Raw genomic sequence first — 12,472 nt, forward strand, 5'->3', positions numbered from 1 at the left:
ATAAATTCTAGAGACCTAATGTACAACAATGTGACTATAATTAACAATATTGTATAATATACTTGAAATTTGTTAAGAGGTTAGAGCAGAAGTGTTCTTACCTCACAGGTAACTATGAGGTGATAGAAATGTTAATTGGCTTCATTGTACTGGATATTTCATAATGCATATAGGTATCAAATCATCAAGTTGTATGTGTTAAATATATACAATATTAAATTTTCAACCATACCTCAAGCTTGAAAAATAATTGATGTATACATGCAAGCATCCCTCAGTATCATCATATATTTTAATCCTAACAAAAACTTGTTTGAATTGCACAGTAGAATTCTGTTCAGAGTCTTCTTTTGCTTCAAGATGAAATAAAAGCTATTGATCAACTGCAAATCCCAAGAAACAAATTTGTCATAAAATTTTCCACAAAGTAGTAGCTTTAAGTACAAAAAGGGATTTTAGGCCGGGCACGGTGGCTCACGCCTGTGATCCCAGCACTTTGGGAGGCCGAGGCAGGTGGATCACAAGGTCAGGAGATCGAGACCATCCTGGCTAACATGGTGAAACCCCGTCTGTATTAAAAAAAATACAAAAAAATTAGCTGGGTGTGGTGGCGGGCGCCTGTAGTCCCAGCTACTCAGGAGGCTGAGGCAGGAGAATGGTGTGAACCCAGGAGGCGGAGGTTGCAGTGAGCCGAGATCGCACCACTGCGCTCCAGCCTGGCCAACAGAGTGAGACTCCATCTCAAAAAAAAAAAAAAAGAAAAGAATTTTAATGTTAGGTCTTGGTATTCAATTGCATAACCAAAATATTTGAGAAATATTTGGACTTCCCTTGTTTTATTTTCTTTCAAAAGGCTGTTTTCTGTGTCATTACAAAGTGTATTAGTTAACAAGAGAACAGTCGTGGTGAGAGAAACACACATTTTGTGTTACCTTCTATGCCCATAACTTGATTGTGATGGGATAGTCTGCCTGCATTTAGGTAAAGCTGTGAGGTCCTTTCCCCACAGGAAAAGACTATGCAAATTTTCCACCAGGGTCATCTTCCCACTTACTTCCTAAGAGTTTGTAAATATTAGACCAAATGCTGGTGGCTGTTAAATGTAGCATGGCTGCAGTGATCCCAGGTGCTAACATTTGCCTGGAATGCTATAAAAAATAGCACTACTAATCAGAAGAAATGGAAATACCTCTAATTTGTTCCTTAAAGGTAATGGCTGCCTAAGAAATATTTTCACTGTTTTTCCTACAATTTCTTTTGGAAGCCCAGAGTAGGAAGTAATTGTTTTAGTTGGTGCTGAAGATTGGGAAGGTATTCAGGGCATAGCCACATCCAGCTTGTCCTAAAGAAATGCTGAAAATGATGTTAGAATGGTGGAAGAGAGATTCCATATCTGCTTTTCCTCCCTTCTCTTCGTCTTGGAACATGTGAGATGGAAATACTCATTACTGAGAAAAATTCAACCCCAAGATAAGAGGTTTGTCCTTGTCTGACAGAAAGGGCTATCATGAGAGGGAAAAAAGTGTTACATTCATCATTGCCTGCAGAAGAAGATGGTGTTAAGTAACGCTGGGAGAAATTCTGAGCCCTCTCTTTTTCTTCCTCCTCCCCCAACCCACCTCCACTTCTTTTAACCATAGTCCATGTAGAAAAAGCTATTGATTGTTCTATAAAATTTTAAATTATCCTCAGGATAAAATATCCTTAACAATTTTTGTTTGTATTTTTTTGTAGTGTACTCTGTGCAAGCCCAAGATAAAACCCAAAACAACTTGTTTTTTAATGGTTTGGTTTTGCCAGGCTTGAACTGACATAAATTGATTCATGTGAGATAAATTTAACGAGCTAGAACCTCTCTAATGAATAATTAGCTAATCATACAATTTTTACAACTGAAAGTTACCTAATCACATGTCTTCAGTTTACAAATGAGAATTAAGTCCTTGGCTCTCCTCTGAGTACAGTCATAAAAGTTGTTGGCTGCTTCAAAGAACAACTCAAATGACCTCTCATTACCTCCTGTATTAAATGCAAGCCAATGTTAGTACTGGATAGAGATTTAGTAGAAGCCAGAAGTCTTTCTAAAGTGACTTCTTAGACATTGGAATAGTTAATTCAAAGGCTGCGGTTATTCTTGAGCTGATGTTTCCTATGGATTATTTTACCCATGAGCAGTGATACTTACATTTGAGATCAACAATCAATAGTGTAAAAAAATTTATTTAGAGCATCCTTGTAGATAAACCTCACTTTGTAGCCCCTTCAAGTATTAAGATGATCCTGTTTAATTTTTCTCCATTTTGAATATTTTATTAGAATATTTCAAGAGGATTAGAATATTTCAAGGTTTCTTTCAAGAGGAAAACAGTCGGTAAAACAGAGAAAGAAGTTCAGTTAAAAAGGAAATCTGTCAACAATTATTTAGCACAAATATTCTGTAAAACACTTTAATGCATGTTTTTGCATGCACTAAATTATCTCATTCAGTTCTTTCAACAACTCTGAGGTAAAAAATGTATTTTGTAGATAAAATAAACTAAGTGATGAAAAATGAATGAAACTAAGTGATGAAGTAACACGCAATCACCATGTGGTTGGTAAATTCAGGTCAGTCTGATTTCAGTGCTCTTTTTATTATCATCTTTGAAGCTTGGACTATACTGAGTAAAAAATATGTGAAAATAGTAAATGATACAGACAGAAGTATCTTGAGTAACTGTCTGCAGAAGGGTACTGATGGAATTCAGAGTTAAATGGTAGAACCAGAGAGCTTGGGTGAGGCGCACGTTTTCTTTGTTTATATGCTCAGAATGTTCTTCATCCAGTTGGAGAAACAAATTTGTTTACTCTCTCTCTGTGTATGTGTGTGCACACACATGTGTATTTGTATGCAGCTAGAGTTTGAGAGTTAACATCAACATCTAAGAACCAGCTCACGAATTAAACTTAACTACTTAAGATCCCAGTTACAGCTCTGGGAGAGAAGATGAGTCTTTCTGAATTGATCCTCAGATAAAATCTGTATCTTTCGTGGCTATCATATAACCTTATTGGATTACAAGAAATACACAATGGGTTCTCTCCAATTGGGAAAAAAACTTTCCATCAAATGTATGGTTCTTGAATAATAATTTAGAACTGTAGATATCCAACTAAAATCTAGAAGTTACATTTATTTAGGATACTTAGAGATAAAATTAGAATTATGTTTGAGTTTTATGAGAAAAAAACAAAACAGGAAGAGCTGTATTAGGAAGAAATCGATTTCTCTCACATGTAAAAGGAATATAAGATCTTCTGCTTCTGGTATAATTCAGCCTCTTTTTATCTTGTATTTCTCCCATGCAGAGCTTCTATGCTCAAAGTCACTTTAAGGTCCAAGATGGCTGCTGGAACTCCAGCAATCACATGCACGTTCTAGCAACTGAGAAAGAGGATACATCTGGAAGTTGCACAAATTTCTGTTTATATCCATTTGGTAAAAGCCTAGCCAAAACTCTGTATGTAGATACAAGGCATCCTAGGTAGTACAGTATTTATTTATTTGGGTTGGCCACATATTTATCTAAAAGGGGTTCTGTTACAGTGGTTCAAGTGGACAATGGACATTGGAGGAAGAATAATAAACACTCTTCCCTACATAGTGGTATGGCAGTTTTGGGGGAAAGAAAAATATAAGGCAAAAACTAGCGTATATCAGGATTGACATGGAGAAGAATTAAACTTAACTACTTAAGAGTCCAGAGTTACAGCTCTGGGAGAATAATAAAGCTGGGGAGGACTTTAGAGAATTATATGGGAATGAAAGTACAATGAGCATGGATTTGATTCTTCACAAAAGCAAGCAATACTACTTTAAATTGTAAATATCAGGAATCATTTATTAGATACAGATGTTTATATAAATGATAAAAGGGAATGCTCCATGCTGAGAAAAGATGAAAATATAAATAATTTCCCACATGGAATTTACAATTTGCTTTTGTTGCAATAGTTTTTGGCTGCTGTTTTTGCTAGATGCTGTAATAAAACTTAAAAAAAAATGTATTATAGCTCAAACAAAAGGTTATTTCTAGCTCAGATAAAGCCTAAAATATAGCCCTAGACAAAAAGCTAGCTCATTTCCATGCTGTGATTTGGGGATCCAGGCTCCTTCCATCTCGTGGCTCCACCATCTTCAACCATTGGCCTCTAAACTTAGAATGCTCATGATGTCCATCAAGTTTGCCGAAGGTGAAAAAGGATGGAGGATCATGTATCTCAGGATTTTATGGTCCAGGCCAGGAACTGGTGCATATCACTGCCATTCACATTTCATTAACTAGAACTTCAAAAAATAAATCAATAAATAAAATAAAGTGAAAGTTTATCTGTAGGTCCAGGAAGAAGAGGAAATGGGCTTAGTGAAAAACTAAACTCTGATAGAGCCCATCCTTGTTGTTTTTAAATAACCTATTTTGTTCTTCTTTTTGGTTTTTAAAATAATTTTTTATTTGTAATTTTTGTGGGTACTTAGGAGGTATATATATTTATGGAGTACCTCAGATGTTTTGATACAGGCATGCATGCAATGTGTAAAAATCACATCATGGAAAATAGGGTATTCATCGCCTCAAGCATTTATCCTTTGTGTTACAAACAATACAGTTCTACTAGTTAGTTTAAAATGTATAATTAATTGACTATAGTCACCCTGTTGTGCTATCAAATACTAGGTCTTATTCATTCATTCTATTTTTTGTACCTATTAACCATCCCCATCTCTCCCCAACCCCACCACTACCCTTCCTATCATCTGGTAACCATCCTTCTACTGTCTGTCTCCATGGGTTCAGTAGTTTTGATTTTCAGGTCCCACTAATAAGTGAGAACATGCAATATTTGTCTTTCTGTGCCTGACTTATTTCACTCAACCTAATGACCTCCAGTTCCATCGTGTTGTTGCAAATGACAACCTCATTCTTCTTTTTAATGGCTGAATAGTCCTCCGTTGTGTATAAGTACCACATTTTCTTTATCTATTTATCTGTTCATGGACACTTAGATTGCTTCCAAATCTTGGCTATTGTGAACAGAGCTGCAACAAACATGGGAGTGCAGATATCTCTTTGATATACTGATTTCCTTTTGGGTATATGTCCAGCAGTGCGATTGCTGGAGCATATGGTAGCTCTATTTTTAGTATTTTGAGCAACCTCCAAACTGTTCTCTATAGTAGTTTTACAGATTTACATTCCCACAAACAGTGTACAAGGGTTCCCTTTGCTTCACATCCTTGCCGGCATTTGTTATTGCCCAAGTTTTGGATGTAAGGCGTTTTAACTGGGATCAGATGATATCTCACTGTAGTTTTGATTTGCATTTCTCTGATCAATGGTATTGAGCACCTTTTCATATGTCTGACTGCCGTTTGTAAATATTCTTTTAAGGAAGGTATTCAGATCTTTTGCCCATTTTAAAATAGGATTATTAGACGTTTTTCCTATAGAGTTGTTTGAGCTCCCCCTATATGCTGGTTATTGATCCCTTGTCAGAGTTTGCAAATATTTTCTCCCATTCTGTGGGTTTTCTATTAACTTTGTTGATTGCTTCCTTTGCTGTACAGAAGGTTTTTAACTTGATGTGATCCCATTTGTCCATTTTTGCTCTGTTTGCCTGTGTTTGTGGGGTATTACTCAAGAAATCTTTGCTTGGAGCAATGTCCTGGAGATTTTCCCCAATGTTTACTTGTAGTAGTTTTGTACGCTGAGGTGTTAGATGCGAGTCTTTAATAAATTTTGATTTCATTTTTGTATACGGTGAGAGATAGGGGTCTAGTTTCATTCTTCCACACATAGATATCCAGTTTTCCCAGTACCACTTATTGAAGAGACTGTGCTTTCTTCAGTGTATGCTTTTGGCTCCTTTGCCAAAAATGAGTTCACTGTAGGTGTGTGGATTTTTTTCTGGGTTCTCTATTCTGTTCCATTGGTCTGTGTGTCTGTTTTTATGCCAGTACCATGCTGCTTTGTTTACTATAGCTCTGTAGTCAGCTATAATTTGAAGTCAGGTTATGTGATTCCTCTAGTTTTGTTCTTTTTTGCTTAGGATAGCTTTGGCTATTCTGGGACTTCTGTGGTTCTGTGTAAATTGTAGGATTTTTTTTTTCTATTTCTGTGAAGAATGTCCTTGGTATTTTGATAAGGGATTACATTGAATCTATAGATTGCTATGGGTAGTATGGACATTTTAACAATATTCTTTCAATCCATGAATATGGAATATCTCCATTTTTTGTGTGTCCTTCAATTTCTTTTATCAGCATTTTACAGTCTTTATTATAAAGATCTCTCACTTCCTTGGTTAATTTCTAGGTATTGAATTTTATGTGTGGCTTTTCATTTCTTTTTCGGATTACTCACTGTTGGCATATAGAAATGCTATGGATTTTTGTATGGTGATTTTTGTATCCTGCAACTTTACTAAATTTGTTTCTAATAGTTCTAATAGTTTTTCATGGAGTCTTTAGATTTTTCCAAATATAAGATATCATCTGCAAACAAGGATAACTTGACTTCTTCCTTTCCTATCTGGATGCCCCTTATATCTTTCTCTTATCTGATTGCTCTAGCTAGGATTTCTTGTACTATGTTGAATAACAGTGGGCATCCTTGTTGTGTTCCACATCTTAGAGGAAAGGCTTTCAGTTTATCCTTATTCAGTACAATACTAGCTGTAGGTCTGTCATATATAGCTTTTATTATGTTGATATGTGTTCTTTACCCAGTTTTTTGAGGGTTATCATGATCTGATGTTAAATTTGATCAAATGCTTTTTCAGCATGAATTGAAATGATCATATGGGTTTTGTCCTTAATTCTATTGATAAGATGTATCACATTGATTTGCATACATTGAACCATCCTTGCATCCCAGGGATAAATCCCACTTGATCATGATAAATGATTTTTTTTTTTTTTTGAGACAAAGTTTCACTCTTGTTGCCCAGGCTGGAGTGCAATGGTGTGATCTTGGCTCACCGCAACCTCTGCCTCCCGGGTTCAAGTGATTCTACTGCCTCAGCCTCCCAAGTAGCTGGGATTGCGGACATGTACCACCATGCCCAGCTAACTTTCTATTTTTAGTAGAGAGGAAGTTTCTCCATGTTAGTCAGGCTGGTCTCAAACTCCTGACCTCAGGTGATCCACCCACCTCGGCCTCCTGAAGTGCTGGGATTGCAGGCATGAGCCACTGTGCCTGGCCAATGAATGATATTTTCAAGGTATTGTTGAATTCAGTTTGCTATTTTTTATTTATTTATTTATTTTTGAGATGGAGTCTTGCTCTGTCACCCAGGCTGGAGTGCAGTGGTGCAATCTTGGCTCACTGGAACCTCCGCCTCCCAGGTTGTAACAATTCTCCTGCCTCGGTCTCCCGAGTAGCTGGGACTACAGGGATATGCTGCTACACCTGGCTAATTTTTTTTATTTTAGTAGAGACAGGGTTTCACCATGTTGCCCAGGCTGGTCTTGAACTCCTGAGCTCAGGCAGTCCACCTGCCTCAGCCTCCTAAAGTGCTGGGATTACAGGCATGAGCTGCTGCACCTGGCTGGGTTTGCTAATACTTTGTTGAGGATTTTTGCATCAATATTCACCTGAGATACTGGCCTGTAGTTATCTTTTTTTGGTGTGGCTTTGTCTGGTTTTGGTATCAGAGTAATAGTGGCCTCATAGAATGAGTTTGGAAGTATTCTCTCCTTCTCTTTTTTTTGGAATAGCTTGAGTAGGATTAATTCTTCTTTAAACATTTGCTAGAAATCAGCAGTGAATCAACTGGGTCCCAGGCTTTTCTTTACTGGGAGACTTTTTATTACAGCTTCAATCTCATTCCTTGTTATTGGTCTGTTCAGGTTTTGTTTGTCGTCTTGTTTCAATCATGGTAGGTTGTATGTGTCTAGGAATTTGTCCATTTCTTCTAGATTTTCCAATTTATTGGCATATAGTTGCTTACAGTAGCCACTGATGATCCTTTGAATTTCTGTGGTACCAATTGTCTCTGATTTTATTTGGATTTTTTCTTTTTTTTTTCTTAGTCTGGCTAAAGATTTGTCTACTTTGTTTAACTTTTCAAAACCCCAACTTTATGTTTCATTTATTTCTTTTGGGATTTTATTATTTGTTTTTCTACTAATTTTGGGTTTGGTTTGCTCTTTTCTAGTCCTTTAAGATACATCACTAGATTGTTTATTTGAAGTTTTTCCCTGTTTTGATATATAGCCACTTACAGATTTAAACTTTCCTCTTAGTACTGCTTTTGCTGTATCCCATAGGTTTTGGTATGTTGTGTTTCCATTATCGTCTGTTTCAAGAAATTTTTCAATTTTTGTAATTTTTTCATTGACCCACTGGTCATTTGAGAGCATATTGTTTAATTTCTTTGTAGTTTCAAAAATTCCTCATTATTAATTTTTAGTTTTATTCCATTGTGGTCAGAGATGCTTGATATTATTTCAGTTTTTGAATGTTTTAAGACTTGTTTTGTGACCTAACATATGGCCTGTCCTTGAGAATGATCCATATGGTGAGGAAAAGAATGTGTATTCTGTAGCTCTTGGATGAAATATTCTATAAATATGTATTAGATCCATTTATTCTATTGTGCAGATTAAGTCTGATGTTTCTTTATTGGTTTTTTCTCTGTTAAATCTGTCCAGTGCTGAAAGTGGGGTGTTGAACTCTCAACTATGATTATATTGGGACCTATCCCTTTAGCTCTAATAATATTCTCTTTATATATCTGGGTTTTCCAGTATTGGGTGCATATATTTTGAAAAGTGTTATATTCTCTTGCTGAAGGGACCCCTTTATGATTATATAGTGACCTTCTTTGCCCCTTCTTGTAGTTTTTTAGAAATCTATTTTGTCGATATAGGTATAGCCACTCCTGCTCTTTATTGGTTTTCATTGGCATGGAATATCTTTTTCCATCTCTTTATTTTCAGTCTATTTTTGTCTTTATAGGTCAAGTGTGTTTCTGGTAGGCAAAGGATTAATGGGCCTTGATTTTTCACCCAATCAGCCACTCTATCTTTTGATTGAAGAGTTTCAATTGAAGAATTTGATTGAAGAGATTCAATGTTGTTATTGATAAGTAAGCACCTACTCTTGCCATTTTGCTATTTGTTTTCTGGTTGTTCTGTCGTCTTCTTTCCTTCCTGCCTGCGTTTAGTGAAGGTGATTTTCTCTGGTTATATGATTTAGTTTCTTGCTTTTTATTTTTTGTGTATCCATTGTTTCTTGGGTTGAGGTTACTGTGAGGTTTGCAAATACTATCTTATAACCCATTATTTAAAGCTGATAACAACATTGTTTGCATAAACAAAAAGAAGACTAATAAAGACTCTGCACCTTAATTTTTTTTTACTATTTATATTTTATTGTACTTTGTTTTCAAAAGTTGTAATAGTTACTTTTTATTGGTTCATTGTTTGGTATTTCTACTTAAAGAGTAGTTTACACACCACAGTTATAGTGTTATAATACTCCGGTTTTTCTGTAATTAACATTACCAGTGAGTTTTGTACCTTCAGATGATTTCTTATTGCTCATTAATGTTCTTTACTTTCTGATTGACATACTCCCTTTAGCATTTCTTGTAGGGCAGGTCTGGTATTGATGAAATCCCTCAGCTTTTGTTTGTCTGGGAAAGTCTTTATATCTGCTTCGTGTTTGAAGGATAACTTTGCTGGATATACTATTCCAGGGTAAAGGTTTTTTTTTCCCTTCAGCACTTTAAATATGTCATACCACTCTCTCGTGGCCTGTAAGGTTTCTACTGAGAGGTCTGCTGCCAGATGTATTGGAGCTCCATTGTATGTTACTTGTATCTTTTCTCTTGCTGCTTTTAGGATCTTTTCTTTATCTTTGGCCTTTGGGAGTTTTATTATTAAATAAAATAATACAACTTGAGGTAACTTTCTTTGGGTTAAATCTGTTTGGTGTCCTATAACCTTTTTGTACTTGGATATTAGTATCATTTTCTAGGTTTGGAAAGTTCTCTGTTATTATCCCTTTGAATGTGCTTTCTACCCCATCTGTACCTCCTCTTTAAGGCCAATAACTCTGCCCCTCTGAGGCTGTATTCTAGATCCCTAGATCCCTCGTAGGTGTGCTTCACTGTTTACTCAGTTTTCTTTGGTCTCTTCTATTTTCAAATAACCTGTCTTCAAGCTCACTAATTCTTTCTCCTGCTTAATTCTCCTATTAAAAAACTCTTCAGTATGCCAGTTGCTTTCTTCAACTCCAGAATTTCTGCTTGATTTTTGATGATTTCAATCACTGTTAAATTTATCTGATAGAATTCTGAATTCCCTCTCTCTTATCCTGCATTTCTTTGAGTTTTCTCAAAACAGCTTTTCTGAATTCTCTGTTTGAAGGGTCACATATCTCTCTTTATCCAGCTTGGGTCCCTATGCCTTATTTAGTTTATGTTTTCCTGAATTGTCTTGACACTTGTAGATGTTCATCTGTGTCTGAGCATTGAAGAATTAGGTATTTATTATAGTCTTCTCAGTCTGAGCTTGTTTGTACCCATACTTCTTGGGAAGGCTTTCCGTATATTCTAAAGCACTTAGGTGTTATAATCTAAGCTGCATCTGCTTTAGTGGGGGGACCTCGAGCCTGGTAACACTGCAGTTCTTGCAGACTCATAGAGGTACCATCTTGATGGTTTTGGACAATATCCAGAAGACTTCTCTGAATTTTCAGGCAGAGATTCTTGTTCTCTTCCCTTGCTCTCTTTTCTGAGCCACCTGGAACTGTGGGTAGAGTGGCACAAGCACCCCTGTGACCACCACCAGATCTTGCCCAAGGCCTGATATAACCACTTCCTGGCTACCACATACATTCACTGAAAGCCCTGGGCTTCTGCAATCAGCAGGTGGCAAAGCCAGCCAGGTTTGTGTCCTTCATTTCAGGGCAGCAAGTTCCCCCAGGCCCTGGAAAGGTGCAGAAGTGCTGTCTAGGAGCCAGGGACTAGAGGCAAAAACCTCAGAAGTCTACTTGGTGTTCTGTTGTACTGCAGAGAAGCTGGCACTTAAACCACAAGACGGTCCTTCCTACTCTTCCCTCCCCTTTCTAAAGGCAGAGGAGCCTCCCCCCTTGACACCTCCACCTCACACACACACACACACACACACACACACACACACACACAGAGTACTGCCAGACTACTTCTGATGTTCCCTTAAGCCCCAAGGGCTGTTCAGTCAGCTTGTGGTAAATGCTGCCTGGTCTGGGACACAGCCTTCAGGGGGAGCGGATTCCCTTCTGGCTCAGGGAAAGTCCAGAAATGCCATCCAAGAGCCAAGTCTCAGAATTGGGGACCTCAAGGGTCTGCTTGGTGCTCTACCCTCCTGTGGATGCGCTGGTACCTAAGGTGTGAGACAAAGTACCCTTTACTTTTACCTCTGCTTTGCTCAAGCAGGAAACTTGCCCCATAGCCACCACAGCTGGGAATGTGCTGAGCCTCATCTGAAGCCAGCAAGTCTCAGAGTGTCACCCAAGGCCCTCATTGTAGAACCTGGCCATCACTGCTAGTTATTCAGGACTCAAGGCTCTTTAGTTAGTTAGCAAGTGATGAATGCTGCCAGGAATGGGTCCTTTCATTCAAGGCAGCGGGCTCCCTTCTGGTCTAGGATGTGTTTAGAAATGTCTTCTGAGAGCTAGGGCCTGGAATGGGGACCTCATGACTCTGACCGGTGTCCTATCCTGCTATGGCTGAGCTGGTATCCAAGATGTAAGACAAAGTCCTTCTCACTCTTCCATCTCTTCTTCTCAAGTGGAAGGAAGGGATCTCTTTTGGAGCTGTGCTCTGTGCAGCCTGGGGTAAGGGGAGAGGTGATACTAGTACTCCCTTAGCTGCCCCTGCTGGTGTCTCAGTATGTCACATGCTCCTCCAGTCCACACTAGGACTCATCTAGGTGTTGCAGTCCTTGTGGCCTAGAATGCCTTTCAAGTTTATTTAGAGCCCCAGAGCACTTTAGCTTATCATAGCAAGGCTTGTGGGAATTCAGGATCTGACCACGATCCTTAGCAATTCCTCTTTGGGTGGGACTGGTTTAAATGCTCCCTCTATGGGTGAGTATTAGCTGAATTTGGTCTGGTTTTGCTTTCTGCTATAACAAGGGAGCACTGAGTTCAGTATCTCACAATTGCTGCCCTTCCTCTTCCCCAGGGCACAGAAACACTCTCCACTGCGGCCAAGGATTGCAGGAGAGGTGGCATCAGTGATTCAAGACTTCTTTTCCTACCTCTTCAGTGTTTCTTTCAGTGATCTGAAGTTAAAGCCAGGTACCATAAGTGCTCACCTGATTTTTGCTGCTTACAAAGGTGCTTTTTTGGTGTGGATTGTTGTTACATTGGTGTCCTTGCAACAGGGGACAATTGTTGTAGCCTTCTATTCTGCCATCTTGCTCCACCCCTTTTATTTTGTC

At 38.0% G+C, this 12,472-nt stretch overlaps 1 long non-coding RNA gene across 9 annotated transcripts in view; it reads left to right on the forward strand.

The window, feature by feature from the left end:
• The window catches only part of LOC105379362 (uncharacterized), a 122,073-nt gene that overhangs the window by 56,011 nt on the left and 53,590 nt on the right, over window positions 1–12,472 (forward strand). For 4 of the 9 annotated variants that reach the window (NR_188151.1, NR_188153.1, NR_188152.1 and 1 more), the window contains exon 2: window positions 12,214–12,329. The exons of 4 other annotated variants lie outside the window; for them this stretch is intronic. This is a non-coding gene — a long non-coding RNA (uncharacterized LOC105379362). Of the gene's footprint in view, window positions 1–12,213; window positions 12,369–12,472 lie in introns of all 9 variants that reach the window. One more of the 9 variants, NR_188148.1, reaches the window with a different exon arrangement.

The sequence above is a fragment of the Homo sapiens genome, chromosome 8, assembly GCF_000001405.40.
Source record: "Homo sapiens chromosome 8, GRCh38.p14 Primary Assembly".
In the NCBI taxonomy this organism is placed as follows: Eukaryota; Metazoa; Chordata; class Mammalia; order Primates; family Hominidae; genus Homo; species Homo sapiens.